At 35.5% G+C, this 22,234-nt stretch overlaps 1 protein-coding gene across 4 annotated transcripts in view; it reads right to left on the bottom strand.

Moving 5' to 3' along the window:
- Positions 1-22,234, bottom strand: part of VPS13A (vacuolar protein sorting 13 homolog A) — a 244,004-nt gene that overhangs the window by 194,822 nt on the left and 26,948 nt on the right. For all 4 annotated transcript variants that reach the window (NM_033305.3, NM_001018037.2, NM_015186.4 and 1 more), the window contains exons 4-15: positions 21,308-21,403; positions 20,637-20,738; positions 17,184-17,293; positions 16,041-16,100; positions 13,688-13,747; positions 13,402-13,482; positions 12,330-12,387; positions 6,635-6,762; positions 6,333-6,439; positions 5,360-5,531; positions 728-790; positions 118-250 (exon numbers count right to left, since the gene is read on the bottom strand). In NM_033305.3, coding sequence (NP_150648.2) covers positions 118-250; positions 728-790; positions 5,360-5,531; positions 6,333-6,439; positions 6,635-6,762; positions 12,330-12,387; positions 13,402-13,482; positions 13,688-13,747; positions 16,041-16,100; positions 17,184-17,293; positions 20,637-20,738; positions 21,308-21,403 — 1,170 coding nt within the window. The remainder of the gene's footprint in view (positions 1-117; positions 251-727; positions 791-5,359; positions 5,532-6,332; positions 6,440-6,634; positions 6,763-12,329; positions 12,388-13,401; positions 13,483-13,687; positions 13,748-16,040; positions 16,101-17,183; positions 17,294-20,636; positions 20,739-21,307; positions 21,404-22,234) is intronic.

The raw sequence follows: 22,234 nt of genomic DNA, 5'->3' as shown, positions 1-22,234 counted from the left end.
TTATATATAATTAAATAAATATATTTCAATGTCTATTTACTTTAATTAGGCAAAAAATGGCAAAACTTTATTTTGACACCCAGTGATTAACTATGCTGTAAAATGAAATGGACATACTTTCAGGTTGAACATCTGGTTGCTGTTCATTAGTATTTTGTTCTGACCAAGACCATAGCCAGCTAAACCACCCTTTATTATCCTCTGGATCTTTTACTCCTTCTTTGTAAATTTTGTATCCAGCTTTCTTTACCTAAAATGAATAAATTTTCAAATAAATGACACATTATCCTTTATTTAGCAACTGAAACAAATATAAGCAAGACATTCTGAGAACTTATCCTCTTGAGCAAAATGAATGTAAACAATATACACATTAATAACAGAACACAGAAACTGCAACATTAGTCGAACATAAGAATTTAGGAGTACCACATAGTTTTTCCACCATCTTATAAGAAATGATGATTGAAAAAAAATAAATTGGCTTTTACCTTCATAACTGAATATTTGAAAAGCCCAAATATTTAGAAAGATTTTTTCCCATAGAAATCTGTCTGATTTAAATGGATGTGCCAAAAAATATTAAATAATTTTCTTATAATACTAAAAAGCAAATTGAACCACTTTTTGGAAACAATATGTTACAGTATAAGATTAATAATATCACATCTGTCATATCTATATGGAATTCAGAATTATTTTTACTAATTGAAAAGCCAAGAATTACCTCAACTTCTGCCGTCTGTCTAGCTATAGTTATATTAAAGACATCCAAGGTTTTTTCCAACTCCTGAAAAATATAAACAAAAATGTGTTAACTTTACAAAAATAACTTTACATAATTAACTTAAGCACATAATCTATCAAATGGCTGCACTAAAGAAAAGATATAATAGGAAGCAAACAACAGAACATTCATCAATATAATACATATGTTAAATTCTGGGAAGCAATGCTTGAACATATATCAGCATGGAAATTAGTAAATTAGAGAGTAATTTTTTGAAAAATGAAATAATACATATTCTGCATAAAGAGTTCCAAACTCTTCAAGTTATAAACACATATTAAAATATGTACATGCATTGTTTAAAATGATTTTATTTGGGTTTAAACTACAGATAAGGGTAAACATATTAGTTACATTTTCAACTAAAAATATAATTACAAGGCCAAGCACAGTGGCTCATGCCTGTAACCCCAACACTCTGGGAGGCTGAGGCAGGCGAATCACTTGAACTCAGGAGTTCCAGACCAGCCTGGGCAACACTGCAAAACCTCTACAAAACATATACAAATTAGCTAGGCATGGTGGCACATGCCTGTAGTCCGAGCTACTTAAGAGGCTGAGATGAGAGGACAGCTTAAGTCTGAGGGGTCATGGTGCCACTGCACTCCAACCTGAGTGACAAAGCAAGACTCTGTCTCAAAAAAAATCTATACAAAGATATATAATCGTAAATCCTTCATATTATGTGTACAGCCTGTATGTTATCATTAAGATACAGGCATACCTCAGAGATACTGCAGATTCAGTTCCAGATCACCACAGTATGGCAAGTGTCAGACAAATGTTTTGGTTTTCCAGTGCATATAAAAGTTATGTTCCTACTACATTATAGTCTATTAAGGGTGCAATGGCATTGTCTTAAGAAAACAACATAAATACCTTAATTTTAAAATACTTCATTGCTAAAAAATGCTAACAATCATCTGAGCCATCAACGAGTTGTAATATTTTGCTGATGGAGGATCTTGCCTCGATGTTGATAGCTGCTGACTCATCAGGGTGGTGATTGCTGAAGGTTGGGGTGGCTATTGCAATCTCTTAACTGAAGTTTGCCACATCAATTGACTCTTCTTTTCACAACTGATTTATCTGTAGCGTACAACGCTGTTTGATAGCATTTTACTTACAGAATTTCCTTCAAAATTGAAGTCAATCCTCTCAAACAGCAGTGCTGCTTTATCAACTAATTTTATGTAAATTTCTAATTGTCATTTCAACAATGTTCTCATCTTCACCAGGAGTATATTTCATCTCAAGAAACCACTTTCTTTGCTCTTCTATAAGAAGCAGCTCCTCATTGGTTAAAGTTTTATCATGAGATTGTAGCAATTTAGTCACATGTTCAGGCTCCACTTCTAGTTCTCTTCGTATTTCCACCACATCTGCAGTGACTTTCTCCACTGAAATCTTGAACCTCTCAAGGTCTTCCATGAGGGTTGGAATCAACTTCCAAACACCTGTCAATGTTCATATTTTGACCTCCACCCATGATTCACAAATATTCTTAATGGCATATAGAATGGCAAATCCTTTCCAGAGGGTTTTCAATTTACTTTGCCCAGATCCATCAGAGGAATGATAGCTGCCTACTTCATAAGGCAGCTATCATCTTACAAAATGTACTTCTTAAATAATAAGACTTGAAAGTTAAAATTACTCTTCAATCCATGGGTGGCAGAACAGATGTGGTGTTAGCAGGCATGAAAACAACATTCATCTCTTTGTATATCTCTATCAGAGCTTTTGGTGACTAGGTGCATTGTCTATTAGCAATAATATTTTGAAAAAAATCTTTTTTTACTGAGCAGTAGGTCTGAGCTTGGGTTTAAAATGTTGTAAACAGATATGTTGTCATCCAGGCTTTGCTGTTCCGTGTATAGAGCATAGCCAGAGTAGAGTTAGCATATTCTTAAGGGCCCTAAGAGTTTCAGAATGGCAAAGAATCACTGGCTTCAACCTGAAATCACTAGCTACGTCAGCATCTAGCAAGAGAGTCAGCCTGTCCTTTGAAGCTTTGAGGCCAGATATTAACTTTTTCACTCTAGCTAGGAGAGTTCAGATGGCATCCTCTCTCAGTAAAAGGCTGTTACATCTACACTGAAAATCTGTTTAGTATAGCCACCTTCATCAATGATCTTAGCTAGATCTTCAGGATCACTTGCTGCAGCTTCTCCATCAGCACTTTCTTCTTTGCCTTATACTTTTGTTATAGAGACAGCTTCTTCCCTTAAACTTCAAGAACCAATCTCTGCTATCTTCAAACTTTTCTTCTGCAGCTTCCTCACCTCTCTCAGTCTTTATAGTATTGAAGAGAATATGTTTAGGGCCTTGCACTGGATAAGGCTTAGAGGAATGCTGTAGCTGATTTCATCTATCTAGACCACTAGAACACTCTCCACATCAGTAATCAGGCTGTTTTACTTTCTTATCATTCATGTGTTCCCTGGAATAGCACTTTCAATTTCCTTCAGGACTCAGCTAACCATTGGGCACAAGCAGCCTAGCTTTTGGCCTATCTCTGCTTTCAACATGCCTTTCTCACTAAGCTTAATTATTTCCAACTTTCAATTTAAAGTGAGAGACGTATGATTCTTCCTTATATTTGAACACTTAGAGGCCTTTGTAGGGCTATTAATCGGCCTAATTTCAATATTTTATCTCATGGAATAAGGAGGCCCAAGCAGAGGGAGTCAGGAAAACAGCCAGTCAGCAGAACAGTCAGAACACGCACAACATTTATTAAGTTTGCTGTGTTAGAATAAAAACTTCAGCCGAAGTACATTTAAAAGATTTAATTAAGCAATGAACAATTTGCAAATTGGGCAGCCTCCAGAGCCAGAAGAGGCTCAGAGACTCTGGTGTAGCCACACGGTGGAAGATTTATGGACAGAAAAAGGAAACTGACATAGAGAAAATGGAAGTGAGGTACAGAAACAGCTGGTTTGGTTATAGCTTAGTGTTCACCTTATTTGAACACGGTTTGAACAACTGGCCACATGTGATTGGCCAAAACTTGGTGATTGGCACAAGAGTAGACTAGAGTCTGTTTATACTTCCATTTAAGCTATAGTTTATGGCGTACAAAGAAACCTTTTGGCCAAACTTAAAATATGTAAGGAGGCAGCTTTAGTCTAAACTTAATTTAACAGCTGTCTTATATGGATGCAGTTTGTGGCACCCCAAAACAGTTACAACAGTAACAGCAAAGATCACTGATCATAGATCATCATAACAGATATAATAATAATGAAACAGTTTCAAATATTGTGGGAATTACCAAAATGTGACACATAGACAGGAATAAATGCTATTGGAAAAATGGTGCCGACAGATTTGCTAGACACAGTGTTGCCACAAACCTTCAATTTGTAAAAAACACAATGTCTGCAAAGCACAATAAAGTGAAGTATGCCTGTATTTCAAGTAGACCCAGATACACTTAAAACTTGTTTTTAATACTTAACACTTTTCATAGTTGTCATAGCTATTGAAATAAGCTGAGATTAGCTAAATCTTTCATCACAGCTATCTTGACATACCCATAATTACTTTTGAGAATTTCATGATCAAACTATGTTTCCCCCAAGAGAAGTAACTACAACCCATTATTATTTCAGAATAACTTATTCAGGGTTCTCCTATCCAGACTTGGAGGACTCAGGTTATGATTCAAGACTAAGACAACCTGAACCCATCCCCCAAAGACTCTAAGCCCAGGCATTCCTAACAGCCCTAGGTCTTCAGAAAGTCTCCCACATTGAAAATAAAAGTAAAAGTCAATCTAATCTATAAATTAGAAATTCATTCTGGATTCAGAATGTTTACATTAACTTCAAGAGACTAACTCCCCTTAATCTCTCTAAGCTATAGTTCATCAATTTGTAAAAGAGTCCCTCTTGAAATATGTCATAATGCTAAAAGACAAGATTAATACAAAAATAATATCTCAAGATAGATAATTAAATGTAAAACTACTGGTAGAGACTAGAGATACCACAAAAATTAAGAGAAAAAGGGCTCTGTATAAGCAGAAAATTCAGAGACATTCATGCAAGCACTAAGACTTAAGTAGAACTTCAGGGATGAGTAGAATTGAGTAGGTAGAGAGATAAAGGCAGGTAGCATTTATGAGCATAGGCGTGGCTAAAAGAATGAGCATTAAATATACAGAGTACAGGAAACATTAAATTAGTGCATGGTCAGATTGTAACATAGGGAAAATGTAGTGGTGACACATAAAAGGCTTTGAAACCAACACAGAGAAGTTGGAATCAATGTAGCAAACACTATTTAGACTTTTGAGGTTAAAAATGACATAATCATACTATTTGCATGAACCCAAATTCCTTCCGATTGAGAATAATCTCGAATTTCAAAAGCTCACTGGAGAATTTCAACAAATCTTGTATTATTCAGCTGAAGTTAAGAACAGAAGCACAAAAAAGTCTAAGTAAAAGAGATGAAAAGGTCAATAAAAATTGGAATGAAAGGTAGGGAGTATCAGTCACTGAAGACCAATAAGGAGCTATGTAGTATAAAACACTCAACAATTTCATTTTAAATGCTAACCTCCAAAGACACGAGAAGTTCACCAGGTGGCTTCTTACTTGTTAACTTTTTTTTATACAGTTCTTTATATTGCTTCACTTTTTGCCTATGTTTTCTAATATGCTTCCATGACCACATCCATAACCTGGGGCAAACATTTACTTCAAGAACGCCATGTATAGCATAAGCCCACCTAGTTAAAAAAAGAAAAACATTTAACACCCTCAAATCAACAGTATGAAACATTACTGACATTGCTTCTACTCTAACAACATACATAACTATAATACAAAGATTAGGAAAATGATATATTATCTGAGTACTTCCTTTTTACCCAACTCCATTTGCATTAATAATCCATTCAATATTAATCTTTCCTCTTTCTTAAGTGAAAATAAGCAAAATCACTCCATTTTGTTAAATATAGTTCTACACAAGAACTGTTAAGGCATTAATTGGCAAATAACATTTAGTCATCTGAATAATAACTGAAATAGTCAACTGAAAGAGTAATTGTAACTTCTAGAAACTAGGGAATAGCTTAAAAACTGGAATAACAAGACTTTTGAGTTTTAAAATGGGATTATCCTGCATAGACTCCGTAACATTTTTAGCTTTTAAAATACAGGTTTAATAATATTGGTTCAGTGTATCTGATAGGGAAGCTGAGGTGGGGGTTGGGGAGAGACAATGCAAGAAAACAAACCAGGATTTGTTTTTGTAATAATTCTAAATATACTGACCCGTCCATAGTAAATGAAAACTATGGTATTCGAGCATCTCGAGTTGTAAACTGTGTTAGCAAGAATCCCTTAAATCAGTTTCATTAACTCAATAAGCTAAAGCAGCTACATATATTTCTAGCTATAAATCAATTATGGTTTGTATCAGACCTTAAAAATGGTATATCTTAAAGATTATTCTTGAAGTCGAGAAATTTATTTTTATGTTGTATTTTTAAAATCTAAAAAAAAAAAAAAATCAAGGCATTTACCATTCTCTGGCATGGTGGTGAAGAGGCACATCAGGTTTGAACTTCCTATATGGCAGATTTTGTGCCATCATATCAACTGATTCAAGAAGCTCCATAATACTGAAATACTAAAGAATGGAAAATTAAAGCTCTTAAATGTATCACATTTTTTTGTTCAATTGCTGAAGATAAAAGTTACATTACTGACTTTTTAGGGAAATGCTACCATATAACATCATGAATTTTAGTGAAACATTTAAAATCTTAGTTTTGCTTTTATCAAACAATAATTCACAATTGAAAATTATATTAAAGAAAATCACCTGTGGTTTATTAAATTCAATTGCTATGTTATGTAACTCAATTTCCAAGTTTATTTTGGGGGCAGAAAAGTCAAAATCAGATCGGCGATTCATCACAAGTTTGGCATTAGCAGATATGGGACGAAATACTGAAAAATAATAAAAATGGAAAAAAAACTGAGTTATATTTCCAAAGTCTCAAGGCAATAAAGTGATGAAGTTGAAAACACTGATTTCCATTTATTTTATACCCCTTCTACAGTTCCCAGATGTTCACACTGCCATGGTTCAGTCAGATGAACCATGTGTGGAGAAGATTCTTTATCTTTTTCCTACTTAAAATTCACTGTCTTCCATAAATACAATAAAGGCAAATTGAACTCCCCCTCAAAATACCAATATGATACTTAAAAGCAGAAACATTTTAAGAAAAAAAAAATCAAAAAAATAGTTTTAATACAAGTACACAGTTTTACAGAATGAATGAACATTAGAAATGCTAAGAGGATTAACACTGGTTTCCATTATATAATTATAATTTCTGAATTTCTGATCAATTTCTCTAGATCCATCTGTGTTCTTCCTTTTAATTGGTAAAAGGAGAGAGATGAAGAGTGAAAGTTTGCTCTGGATTACCTGCTTGGCTGAACCCATAATCTAAGATAAATTCCTCTCAACTCTTTGTGTTTGGTGCCAAAAAGAATAAGAACAATTCAGAGGAAGACCAGTAATAGCAGAATCTAGACAAAGATCCATCATTAAATTATAAGCTAATCTGTATATAAAGATGATATATTCCTTTTATTTTAATCATTGATATGGACTAACATTTAATTTCTTAAACATTAAACATTCAAGAATATGTTCATTTGAATATAAATAAATGCTTAAAGATCTTGTTCTTTCTTCTGTATTTCTTCTTACATTGAAAAAAAAAAGCAGAAGAAATAAATAAATTTAGTGGCTGGTGACAGAAGCTACCCTGGACCTACAATTCACTGATCCTCCAACCTTTCTCTGCCCTTCACCTCTGCTTCACATCCTCAGTCCATCCCCACCTTACTGAAGTTCCACCATCAGTTATTTTAATCATTCCTTTGCATAGACTCCTTAACTTCTCACTTCGTCAGTGTGGAGTAACCAACTTAACTCCACAGTGCCCCTAAGGAGCTGAACACGGCCGGGGGTAAAAACATACTGCTGGGTCTCACTTTAGTGTCATAAATCTCAAGTGCATCCTTAATGCTGCTGAGCAATTACACAACAGTCCTTCAGTCCAGGAATCATCCAAATCCATGCTACAGCCTATTTTTGTATAGCCAGTGAGCCAAAGATGATTCATACACTTTTAGAGTTGTTTAAAAGAAACAAAGAGGAATGTGTCAGGAACTGTATATGGCCTGCAAAATGTAAAATATTTAACTTACTACATGTCCCTTTCCAAAAAAAAAAAAAAAAGGCAATGTTCTCAAAGTATGAGAACCTTATTGAACCCTAGTCTATCTGAGTGGTTCTCAAACTTTAGTATTCATTAGAATCACCTGGAGAGATTATTAAAATATCAAACTGTAGAATGGGAGAAAATATCTGCAAACTATCCATCAATCATACAGGGGACTAATATCCAGAGTTTACAAGAAACTCAAACAGCAACAACAAAAAACTCAACTCCATTAAAAAGTGGGCAAAGGGCTGGGTGCAGTGGCTCACGCCTGTAATCCCAGCACTTTGGGAGGCCGAGGCAGGCAGATCATGAGGTCAGAAGATTGAGACCATCCTGGCTAACACAGTGAAACCCCATCTGTATTTAAAGTACAAAAAATTAGCTGGGCATGGTGGCAGGTGCCTGTAGTCCCAGCTACTCGGGAGTCTGAGACAGGAGAATGGCATGAACCCGTGAGGTGGAGCTTACAGTGAGCCAAGATTGCGCCACTGCACTCCAGCCCGGGAGACAGAGCAAGACTCTGTCTCCAAAAAAAAAAAAAAAAAAGTGGGCAAAGAACATAAATATTTTTCAAAAGAAGATATGCAAATGGCCAACATGTGTATGAAAAACTGCTCAACATCACTCATCATCCGAGAAATGAAAATTAAAACTATAATGTCTTTTTTATTAAAAAGACAAAAAATGACACATGTTGGTGAGGATGTGGAGAAAAGGGATTACTGTTGGTGGGAATGTAAATCAGTACAACCTCTGTGGAAAACAGTATGGATACTTCACAAAGAACTAAAAACAGAACTACTATTCAATCCAGCAATTCCATTACTGGGTATCTACCCGAAAGAAAAGAAACCATTCTATCCAAAAAAAAAAAAGAAAAAAAAAGCGCTTGTATGTTTACCACAGCACTATTCACAATAGCAAAGATATGGTATCAACCAAAGTGTCCATCAACAGGTAACCGGACAATGTGGTACATGAACATCATGGAATACTTTTCAGCCAAAAAAAGAAGAAAATCACATTTTTTGCAGCAACATGGATGGAACTGGAGGCCATTATCTTAAGTGAAACAATGCAGAAACAGAACAACAAATACTGCATGTTCTCACTTGTAAGTGGGAGCTAAATAATGTGTATATATGGACATAGAGCATGGAATGACAGTCACTGGAGACTCAGAAAGGTAGAGAAATGGGAGAGGGGTGGATGATAAGAAATTACTTAATGGGGACAATGTACATTATTCAGGTGATGGAAACACTGAAAGCCTAGACTTCACTACTATGCAATATATCCATGTAAGGATTGTACTCCACAATTTTATACAAATAAAAAATTAAATACAAAAACATCAAATGCTGAGCTTCACCTCCAGAGGTTCTTATTCAGGAGGTCTGGGAAAGGCCCTAGAAATCTGCATTTCTAAATGATGTTGCTAGTTTGAACCATACTTTGAGAATACTGCCCTCGTCATTTCACTCTCTCACTCCCCTAGCATTCCTATTTCATACCCTCTTTTCCCTCCAAAAACCTCCAACATCTCATGTAATGGTTAATATTGACTGTCAACTCAATTGTATTGAAAGATGCAACTTCTGTTCCTGGGTGTGTCTGATGGTGTTGCCAAAGAAGATTAACATTTGAGTCAGTGGACTGGGAAGGGCAGACCCACCCTCAATCTGGGTGGGCACAATCTAATCAGCTGCCAGCATGGCCAGAATAAAAGCAGGCAGATGAACATGGAAAGACCAGAGTGGCTTAGCCTCTGAGCCTACATCTTTCTCCTGTGCTGGATGCTTCCTGCCCTCAAACATTCAAATTCTTCTTCTCAAACTCCAAATTCTTCAGCTTTGGGACTCAGACTGGCTTCCTTGCTCCTCAGCTTGCAGATGGCCTATTTAAGGGATCTCACCTTGTGATCATGTGAGTCAATACTCCTTAATAAACTCATCTTTAAATATACACCTGTCCTATTAGTTCTGTCCCTCTAGAGAACCCTAACATACCTCAGATACATATTTTTTAATTGAAGAGCTCAGAAGAGAATTTACATCAACTCTTATCACCATATCTACTCATCTACTCAGTATAAGGACTTCTCTCACAACTAAACTCTATCATATAAATTAACTATGCTCCTATATGCAGCAAAGCTCTTCACTTGCGTACTAGACACCATTCTCTTTCACCTACATCAATCCAGAAACTGTCCCCCGTTTCTCCTGCATCGTCAATTTGTCATGTTCTACTGGATCATTCCCATCTCAGCCTAAAAACAAGCTGTCATCTCCCTGATTAAATATAAACACAAACAAAAAGAAACCCTTCATTCCCCCTTCGCTCTCCAACAGGTATGCCAGTTATCAATTTTTTACTTCTGAGCTCCAAACTTCTCCTTCATAGCCTGCTCTGAAAAATGATTTGGGGATCTTTAAATATGTTTCCTTTGAAGGCAGAGAATGTAGAGAAAAAAAATTTTTTTTTCTTTTTCCAGCTGGCGTAATGTTAAGCTTTATCAGTAGAGGACACTGGAGAGACACTGCAGGAGGAAAGAGTTATGCTGCCTGGTTCCAGTATGTTCATTCAATAGACTCCTGCAAGAACACGGCTTCTCCCACACCCAGCTCCTACAGAACCGGTAGCTTCTGCAGTGTCTGGTTCCTCCAGCACGGAGTTCTTCAGCACCGGCCTTATGCAGTACATGGCAGCTAGATGCAGCCAGATGCCAGCAACTTCCCCCAGCACCTTGCTAAGGCAGTTTTGTACTGGAGTGCATTCAGAGAGACACCCCTCCATGAGGCTCCCTAAAAGTAATTTCCAGAAAGTTCCAGAGAGTGAAGTACCAACAGGTTTTGCTGGCACAGCACCACAGATAATTTCCTGCCATTCAATAAGCCACGCTATGTCCTCCAACAAGGTCTACAACTCAGTCCTGAAGGAGGGGGACCCTCTCTTTTGGGCACCCCGTCTTAGCCCTAGGGTAGGGGATGTTTCTTCTGTCTATATCTTTAGCATTTTTATGAGACAGTCCCTTGTTACTCCAGTCTCCTCTTATAGTTGGTAATTCTTTATATTAAATTTGTCCTCTTCAAATTACTCAGTACTTTCTCTCTCCTCACTGAACTCTGATACAACAAAAATGACTTCAGGGCAAAGGAGAAATAAGTCGAATTTACGATTATGGATTTGAAAATCATAAACACATATGACAGATAACTCATCTGTTCTGAATATTTCCTATGAGAAGAGAATCAAGAAAATGAAACTAAATTCAAACCAATAAAAATAATTATTTTAAGAGTGGGCACAAAAAGAAGAATCACTTGAGTAGTCATGAAGGTGTATAATATAGACAGAAAAGTATCACTGAGCCAAGAAAGGAAATACTTTCAGGAAGGATATTCTATGGTTAATGACATCAGGCATGCAAATTCAATAATTAAGTTATCCATCACCAACTTTTATTAAGTGCCCTTATCATAGAAAAAACAGCACTTTTTTTTGTTTGTTTTTGTAGAGACGGAGTCTCACTCTGTCACCCAGGCTGGAGTGCAGTGGCGTGATCTTGGCTCATTGCAACCTCTACCTCCCAGGTTCCCAGGTGGCTCATGCCTGTAATCCTAGCATTTTGGAAGGCCGAGGCGGGCAGATTGCCTGAACTCAGGAGTTGGAGACCAGCCTGGGCAACATGGTGAAACCCCGTCTCTACTAAAATACGAAAGAGATTAGCCAGGTGTGGCAGTGTGTGCCCATAGTCCCAGCTACTTGGGAAACTGAGAAACAGCACTGATTTTTTTCTTTCTGTTTTAGTAATTCATTTCCGATTGTAAAAGTAATGGATGCTCATTTTGGAAAATTAGGAAAACATAGAAAAGTATAAATTAAAAAAATTTTAAATGCAGCGTGATCTTACTATTTCGAAAAAGGCTGTACTAGCTAGCCTTATTAAATTTTACTTGCCATTTTGAAATGTCTTCATAAATATTACCCTAATTGTTACTGAATAATCCTTAGAGGTTTATCATAATTTATTAACATCTTTTGTTGGACATTTTCCCCTATAGTTTTGAAATATAGTCAAAAGCTTCATAACAATAAAATACGTTACTAAAAAATATAATATTATTTGCTTTTGTATATACATTATAAATACATTTAACTATATAGAAGGAAATTTAACAGGAACTAGCACAGTGATAGCAACAATGCTAATTTAAAATTTATACCAATTACTTTAACTACTTTTTTTATCTTATAAAATGTACTTACCAAAATCATAACCTTCTGGAACAATATTTTCATTGACAATGCCATTCTTCAAGTCGTCCTATTAAAAGACAAATTGCTTTTATTTATATTCATGCCAATATGTCTTTTTTTGAGATGGAGTCTCCCCCTGTCACCCAGGCTGGAGGGCAGTGGTGCAATCTCAGCTCACTGCAACCCCTGTCTCATGGACTCATGCGATTCTCCTGCCTCAGCCTCCCGAGTGGCTGGGATTACAGACGTGCCCCACCGTGCCTGGCTAATTTTTGTATTTTTAGTAGAGACAGGGTTTTAACATGTTGGCTATGCTGGTCTTGAACTCTTGACCTCAAGTGATCCACCCGCCTCGGCCTCCCAAAGTGCTGGGATTACAGGTGTGAGCCACCACGCCTAGCCATATTCATGCCAATATGTCTTTATCCTAAAAAATCCTATTATCTGCAAAAGAAAAATGTTTAAAAGCAATTTTAAAAACCAATTCAAACTTAGAACTTAGCTATGGCAAAATATTAAAGTAGTTAAACAACATCTCACCAAACTAATCTTATAAAAGAATGTTCTAGGAGCTATTTAGATTTGCAGGTATCATTGGGTGCAGTGGCTCACACCTGTAATCCCAACACTTTGGAAGGCTGAGTTGGGAGGATTGCTTGAGGCCAGGAGTTTGAGACAAATTTGGGCAACAAAAAGTGAGACCTTGTCTCTACAAAAAAATTTAAAAATTAGCTGGGCATGGTGGCGTGTGCCTATAGTCCTCGCTACTCAAGAGGCTGAGGCAGGAAGGATGATTGCTTGAGCCCAAGAGTTAGAAGCTGCAGTGAGCTATAATCGTGCCACTGCATTTCAGCCTGGGCAACAGAGCAAGACCTTGTCTCAAAAAAAAAAAAAAAAAGATATGGGGGTATGTATTCATGTTTGTGTATAGTTACACACATCTTCACCTGTATCTGTAAATTCTGCTAATAGATTGTGCCTAGGAAAAAATACTGACTACAGTATATTAGATAAATGACAATGAATTAAACCTCATGCAAAATATGATACCAACAAATACATACAGAAAAAATTTACTTACCAAGGAGTTATCATAATCACTAAGATAAAACATCTGAGACTTCACATTCCAATAGGCAAACAGGTTATCCAATCGGATTAACTGAAAATAAAATTTATTAGATGTCTCATTTTCTTTGAAGAATTTTTATCATACACTATTTTCAGAAGTCTCAAATAATTAAGTGAGCCATATCACAGAGTTAAACAAATAAGCAAAATTCACATACATCCTTATCTATATATTATCATTTGGCTTTCCAAAATTCTCTTAAGTCCATGAGTTGACAAACACAGTATTTATTTACCTTACGAACCAGTTTCTCAGTTTCATCATGTAAACATGGAACCCAGTATTGATCAGTTGTCTGAAAAGGAAAAAAAACAATGGCAGTAAAAAGGTCATTCCATTTGAAACAGCAGAGTAATAAATCATTATCTACCATACCCTAGACCAATGTCCCTTTCATGAAAATGCCTTTAAAGACATATCACTCCATCAAAAAATACTAACTGACCACAGTAAAGTGTCTGCTTTCAAGGAAGGAGCTCATTGCGGGTCAGAAAAGCAAACAAAGAAACAGGCAACTTCCAACAGGTAAGTGCCACAGCAGAAGTTAAATACTCATTTAACTTCTAAAACTCATAACTCATTTAACTTATAAAAGAATGTTCTAGGAGCTATTTAGATTTGCAGGTATCATTGGGTGCAGTGGCTCACACCTGTAATCCCAACACTTTGGAAGGCTGAGTTGGGAGGATTGCTTGAGGCCAGGAGTTTGAGACAAATTTGGGCAACAAAAAGTGAGACCTTGTCTCTACAAAAAAAATGCCCTCTCATTTCATTGAGAGGGCATGGCAGGAGCATCCAATTCAGGGGTGTGATGGATAAAGAGATGTTATATATAACCTAATATATAACATGTAACTAAAAATTATTGATTCTAAGGTCGACAGGGAATATGATTCACAACAGGCAGAGCCCAAAAGTACACAAATATATGGCACATTCAGGCAACTGAAGTAGCTCAGTATGCAGGAGAATATAATGCAAAACAGACAGAGAAAAAAAGTAAAACCAGGTATATTGCCTGGGGTCGGTTTAAAAAGGGTTTATAAGTTGTTTAAGGATAAAACTAAGAGCAATGAAAAGCCACTGAGAGGAATAAAGTGATCAGATCTTTATTTCAGAAAGATGGTTTTCGTTTCTATGTGGAGACGAACTGAATGGATAATTAGAATAGTAGCTCTCAAAGTTTAGCATGCATTAGGATCACCTAGAGCAGTGGTCCCCAACCTTTTTGGCACCAACGACCAGTTTCATAGGAGATAACTTTTCCATCAGGGGCACAACCTAGATCCCTGAGATGCGCAGTTCACAATAAGGTTCGCTAGGATCCTACGAGAATCGAATGCCACCTCTGATCTGACAGAGCTCAGGCGGTAATGCTCACTCCCAGGCCTTACCTCCTGTTCTGTGGCCCAGGAACCCTGACCTAGAGGGCTTTGTAAAACACAGATTGCTGCAACCAAATCCTAGAGTTTCTAACTGAACAGGTCTAGGCTGGCAGACAAGTTTCCAAAGGTGATGATTAGTAACTACTGTTATCACGGTTACCAAAGATCTTCACATTGCCCAATCCAATGGCTAATTCTCCATTCTTATTTTTCAACTTAATGAGAGTATTTGAGTAACTTTTTGGAGGGCATTTTTTCTTTTTTCGTTGCAGTGGGGCCACATTTTAAAAAGAAACTGTGGAGTCTCTCTGAGCCTGCTCTGGCTTGGGAGGCTGCCCAATTTAAAAATAATAATAAAATTAAAAAGAAATCTTACACAAAACCCAATAGATACAACAAATAAAATCATGCAATGAAATACACAGCAGTTAAACTGAATGAATTTTGTTACATGTGGTAACACAGATAAATGTCAACAACACTGGAAAGTGCAAAAAGGAACTCATAAAAGAGTCATATAAAACGCGTAAACTTTTATAATCCTACATTTTTAATAGATATATTATATAAAAGTTTTAAAATTTAGGATACTTATCTCTGGGGAAGGACGGGTGGGTGGAAGTAGAAAACAAAAGGGATTCAAACTTTATCCAAAACAGCTTATTCCTATAAAAATATTTAAGACTTTAAGCAAATAGGCTATTTTAATAGGCTCTTAATTTAACAGCCATCCATTCTGGAGGCAAGCATATGTTTCAAAATTCTCTACATGTTCTTATATTTTTAAAATTCCTCAATTTCAAAAATTAAACAGGAAAACACTATGCTACAATATTAATAATGATATTGAGAAAAACTGAAGATTTTTGTTTTTCAAGGCTTATCGAAGTTTCAGATATGAACATTTATTACTTGTATTTGGTACTTACTCATTACAAACTTGGAAATGGATTTCTTAAAGTAAGCAAAAGCATCTAACATCATAATTACCAATAATAATAGGACCTCATATTTCTGAATTTGATTTTCAACCATTTTTTGAAATGTGAATCTACATACCCTCGATTCCAATCCAATGAAGACCCTTTGTGCACCCGTTCTACATAGACACCTATTTCTGATGCTGGCATATACAAATAGTAGCAGTTTAATAGACTATATTGCACATTAAATATGGTTAAGATTCTTTTATAAACAAAATACCTGCATGCTCAGATTTTGAAGGGAAATACCAAATGACAGCGGTTTGTCCCGATTTGTGATCTAAAGAGGAAAGAAAGTAAAATTTATTCAGATTTTTAGTAGTTGGATAAAATCCACTTTATAGAAAAAACTGTCAATGTGCAGCGGCTCCCATCTGTAATCCCAGCACTCTGGAAGGCCAAGGCAGGAGGACTGCTTGAGCTCTGGAGACCAGCCTGGGTAACACAGTGAGATCCTGCCTCTACAAAAAAAAATGTTAAGAAAATTAGCCAGGCCTGGTGGGGTGCAACTGTAGTCCCAGCTACTGCAGGGTGGGTGGGTGGGGGTGAGGTGGGAGGATCACTTGAGCAAGGAATGTCAAGGTTGCAATGAGTCATGATCGGGCAACTGCACTCCAGCCTGGCGACAGTGTGAGGCCTTGTCTTGGGAAGGGGAGGCAAGGGGAGGGGAGGGGAGAGAAGAGGAGAAGAGAAAGAAAGAGAGAAAGAGAAAGAGAGAGAGAGAGAGAGAGAGAGGGAGGTGGGGGGAGGAAGGGAGGGAGGGATAACTTTTTGGGAAGTAACTTATTTCAAACATTCAGAAACATTTTATTACTTTCCAGAAAAACTTTCATTCCTATATTTTTCCTAAAACAAATTAGAATACTAATTATTAATGTATTCGTGTTACACAGGAATATTATACTGCATGTTTTCCAGTTTACAAAAAAAATTATTAAAAAAGACTAACAAAATAGGATTATAAAGCAAATAATTATCTGGTTAAGAGAAAACAAATGACCTATTCAGGATCAAGGAATTATTTAAGGCTAGCTCCACTAATTGCTAGACCAGTACTCCATCCAGGAGGTAAATATAGCATACTTTAAAGTATTTTAAAAATACATAACTGCTAAATTCATAATTCCCAAGGCATTTCCTTCATGATCTAATGTCTGAACATTTTGGGAAAGTGTAAAATCAAGCACTCAACACTAAGGACTGCAAATTACAACTATAATTATAGAAAAGAAGGATCACATCATCTTTAGCTCTGTAACCTTTTGGGATTTAACAGATTGGCCATTAAAAAGTAGGTGTCATTAAATAGTAAAATAACTTACATATAAATATAAAAACAAATATCACATATTAAAATACTTACATCATCTTCATAACGAATATGGATACTGGAAATTTTCACCTGAAGATTTTTTATGATCTGTGTAACTAATTTTTCTGCAAAAGTGTCCTGTTTTTCCGGCAGATGTTGTTCTACAATTGCAAATATTCCTTTTTTAAAATTGAATGAAAAATATACTCTATAAATATCCACATACTGAAGTAACATGCTTACGTTGCCTTGCTGAAATATACATATATATGTAAATAGAACACTAATAGCTTGCTTTCCAAAAGTCTTTCAAAAGCAAGTAAACATTTTTCAAAAGCTAGTTTATTGTGCCATGAGACTAAAGCAGACCATGTAGAATTTACTGGCATTAAATTTTATAATTTCTGTTAACCTATGCCTGAGTACAAAAATATATTTAAAAATGAAGATTATTGGGTAAGAATTACAATAGACTTAAATGAGAAAATCCACTAACAGCAGCAAAGCAGAAATCTCTCTCAAAATTAGTGATACCACCATTAAGTTGCCTGTGTATAGATGTGTAAAACAGTTGAATATCCTCCTCCCCCAGTAAATACAAAATAGGAAATAAGATCTTCTTTCTTCTTTTGAACAAGGATGAAAGAAGTTCATCAACTATTTCATGTTCAGAAAACAGCATTAACTATCTCAAGTTCCATTACTTTCCAAAGAAATAGAAAGAATCAAGAATTGGAGGGGCAAGGTGGCTCACACCTGTAATCCCAGCACTCTGGGAGGCCAAGGTGGGCAGATCATCTGAGGTCAGGAGTTTTAGACCAACCTGGCCACTATGGCGAAACCCCGTCTCTATTAAAAATATAAAAATTAGGCAGGTATGGTGGTCCATGCCTGTAGTCCCAGCTACTTGGGAGGCTGAGGCAGGAGAATCGTTTGAACCAGAGAGGTGGAGGCTGCAGTGAGCCGAGATCACACCACTGCATTCCATCCTGGGAGACAAAGTGAGACTTTGTCTCAAAAAAAAAGAAAAACCAAGAATAAAGAAGAATAAAGAATTGAGGTTCCTAATTTTTTTGAAATATGCCTTTGATAATCATAGTTATTATCCTTTTTCTCCCCTTAAAAATGCCAATGAAAGCTATATTCTTTATTTCTAATTCTGTTCCTCTTTTCATATTTCTACTCCTATATAGAAATAATACATATAAATCTATCTTTTCCTCTAATTGCCTATTACTCTCAAATTCAGCTGGCCCAGGAGGCCTTAGATAAAGGAAAGCTGAAGATACTAATCATATGTACCTCAAATACACCAGAGTTAAATGAATATATATACATATAAATAGATTATAGAATTAAGTAGACAACAGAATACAAGCTCTTTAAAGACAGAGGATCATATTTTAATCTTTGACTCTCACCACTACCTAATAAAATCTTTTCTTTTATAAATTCATTTAGTCATTCGATTAAATGTTGTCTTTCTTTCTCTACCCACTACTTCCTCCTGACTTCCTTATGCAGCTCAGATTCCATGATATGTTATTTTACCAACACCTTAAATCCCTTTGCTCTTTTTTTGCATATTACTGTCAATAAAGTACCAATCCTGAATAAAACCAACTATCCATTTTACATGAAAAGCATATCAATGCCTATATCTTGCAGGGTAATGAAACAAAACACAAGATGAGTTTAAAACAAACAACAACAACAACAAAAATCCAAGTCACAGAACCCTGGAAAGACACAGGAACTGGAAACCCCACCAAACAAAAAATAGCAAACATGGAACACAGTGGAGAGAGAGGAAGATAACACAAGAACTGATTTAAATCTGTATAAGGAGCAGTTAAGTTAGGTCCCCTTCTCTCCCAGCCCAATATCCAAGCAACATCCCTTTCCCACCCTAGTGAGAACACAAGGGTTTATTTTAGAGAAAATGGCCCTAATAGGATCCAAATTTTGTACATGGGAGAACAGGGAGGTTAACTAAAAGCCTACAAAATAAACAGTCATACTTAAAGCCACTTTATTTATATATAAATAAAACATTTATATATAGCCATGATACTATTAACAATGAATTCTGATTTAACCAAAAATGTGACAGAACTATATAGAGAAGATGAAAAAATAGGGTCAATCTTCATAGTACATCATAAAAGGATGTGTGTGTAATATATATATTACACGTTATATATTATATATGTCATATATATGCCAATGAAACACGAGATGAGTTTAAAATATGTAATGTCATTAATTATATGTTATAAAATATGTTATGTTATAGATAATATGCATGTTATGTTACATATAACACGTTTTATATATATATATATATATATATATATATATATATATATAATATCTAAATAAATCAAGACACAGAGGTTTGAGCACCATATTTAGTAATATAGGTGCGGGCCTGGGCCAGGAACAGTTGGTTTTTTTTTTTAATCCGGACACTATAATACTGCTTAACTTTTAAAGCTATGTATATATATTATCTTGATAAAATAAAAATAATTTTTAAAAAGAAAAGGCCTAAGAGACTTAGGAAAGAGGACTGGAGGTAAGGATAAATGACTACACATAATATAAAGTAACTGTTACAGAGAAAAAACAGAATTACAAGAGATATTGCCAAGAATTACATGTTAAATCTCTATTAATGTTTGCCAACAAGTAAAACATTATTGAAGCTTATTATTTTTTATTAAAAGAAAATCAATGCATTTCAGAGACAGTGAAGTCAGTAAACTTTTTAATTTTAAGATGTTTAACTATTAAATGAATGACAGAGGAGAAGAACATAAACAGATGACTAGGTTAAGAAAATGACTTCATGTTTCAAGATAAAGAACAGCGTATTTACATGCCAAGGCAAAAAACCCACTAGGTGAGAGTTTAAAAAGTAGCTGGCAGTAAGGATCAGAGAACAGGTGAAAAGGAATTAGATTTCTTCAGGACACCGCTTCCAATAATGAAAAAGAGGTTGCAGTAATGGAACATATTGTCTAAGTTTAATTGGAAAATATGTGAAGCCAGAGGGTAAATAAACAGATAGAGGCAAATAGAAATATGTCAAGAAACTAAGTATCTCCAAAAGGGTGAAGAATTGATATAAAAGGAATACAAAAGCAAAGGCTAGAAAATTAAGAAAATATGCTTGATAAAATTAATTGCTATCATTAAAAACTGACCTTACCTAGTATGTATATGTGTGTGTGTGTATATATATATATATAAAAAATATGTAAACCTAATAATAATAATAAGCTAGACATATTATTTGCCTTAAGATAAATTTCCATAAGGTAAAATTCCTGTACACATAACAAAGCATACAAACCACATTAAAATTCCCCATGCAATGAGATTCTATCATATTTCTGAAATAATCTCAGCATCTCCAGAGAAAAATAATATTCAATTATGATAAATATTTAGGTCTTTTCTACTTCTCTTATTAGCATTGTTATTTACTGTTTTCTTTACCTTGATCAACTACTTTTTGTTTTGCTTCTTCTATTCTTTTCAGTTCCTGTTGCTTTGCTTCCATGAGTTGTTTCTCTTCTTTTAAAGGATCATATTTTATTCCTATAGGAAGATTAAAAAGGAAGAATCATAACTACCTTAAATTTAAATATAGTCATTCCAAAAAAATCCTTACAAATAATCATTAATTGGCCGGGCGCGGTGGCTCATGCCTGTAATCCCAGCACTTTGGGAGGCCAAGCTGGGCGAATCATGAGGTCAGGAGTTCGAAACCAGCCTGGCCAACACGGTGAAACCCCATCTCTACTAAAGATACAAAAGCTAGCTGGGCGTGGTGGCAGGCGCCTATAATCCCAGCTACTCAGGAGGCTGAGGCAGGAGAATCGCTTGAACCCAGGAGGCAGAGGTTGCAGTGAGCTGAGATGGTGCCACTGCACTCCAGCCCAGGTGACAGTGCGAGACTCCATCTTAAAAAAAAATAATAATAAATAAATAATAAATAATTCAAAGTTGCCAAAAATGTAGAGTAAAAACCAATTTAATTTGAATTAACAAATATCAAATTTAAATATTAAAATCTCAAAAAAATTCCAAAAGTATTTTGAATATAAATATTTTTCCATCCATAAAAAAGAATAACTTAAATTATAATTTTTTTAAATTTAACTTACTAGAAGAAGGCACTATAAGTAAATAAATTTCTTCCAATACGGCTTCAACAGGTTGAGTATAAAGGTTTTTCCATGGAATTATAAGTTTAAGATTACCTACATTTTTTTGGGAAAAAAAAAAAGGACAAAAAATATTACTCCTTCAACCTGCATTTATGGTTAGTCTATTTTCTGTCAGGCATTGAAGAGATAATAAAGTGGCCTTTGTCCTTAAGCGTTTAATCACTTTATTGAAAGCTATTTTACAACTACAAACAACAAGTGTTTGTTGTAATGATTTGAAATTATTGTATTTATATCAGTACTGTTGGAAAACCTAGATTATATTCGAAATATACAAGTTTCTATTTACAGTTCTCTGTACCATAAACAAAACAATGTTCTTCTTCCCTTAATCAACAATCCTTAATATCATAACTTTGAATTTCCCCAGTTCTTACTCTAAACCTATATTTTTTAATGCTTTAAGATGGTAGATTAGGCCAGGCGCAGTGGCTAACACCTGGAATCCTAGCACTTTGGGAAGCTAAGGCAGGTGGATCGCTTGAACCCAGGAGTTCAAGACCAGCCTAGGCAACATGGCAAAACCCTGTCTCTATGAATAAAAACTAAAAAAATTAGCCAGGCGTGACAGTATGTGCCTGTAGTCCCAGCTACCTGGGAGGCTGAGGTGGGAGGATCTTGAGCCCAGGAGGTCAGGACTACAGTGAGCCATGATCATGCTACTGCCCTCCAGCCTGGGTGACAGAGTGAGACCTTTACCTCCCCGCAATGAAAGGTAGATTGTATACTTTAAATAAGTGTGTGTATGTATATTTTTCATTATGTATATGTGTGTTACATACGTATGTATGTATGTATAGTAATTCACATATACACATATGGTAATAATCATACATATAAACTATATATATGAAAACTACACAT

Source organism: Homo sapiens, chromosome 9 (assembly GCF_000001405.40).
Source record: "Homo sapiens chromosome 9, GRCh38.p14 Primary Assembly".
In the NCBI taxonomy this organism is placed as follows: domain Eukaryota; kingdom Metazoa; phylum Chordata; class Mammalia; order Primates; family Hominidae; genus Homo; species Homo sapiens.
Note: the sequence above shows the minus strand (reverse complement) of the source record. Positions and strands in the feature narration are given on the sequence as shown.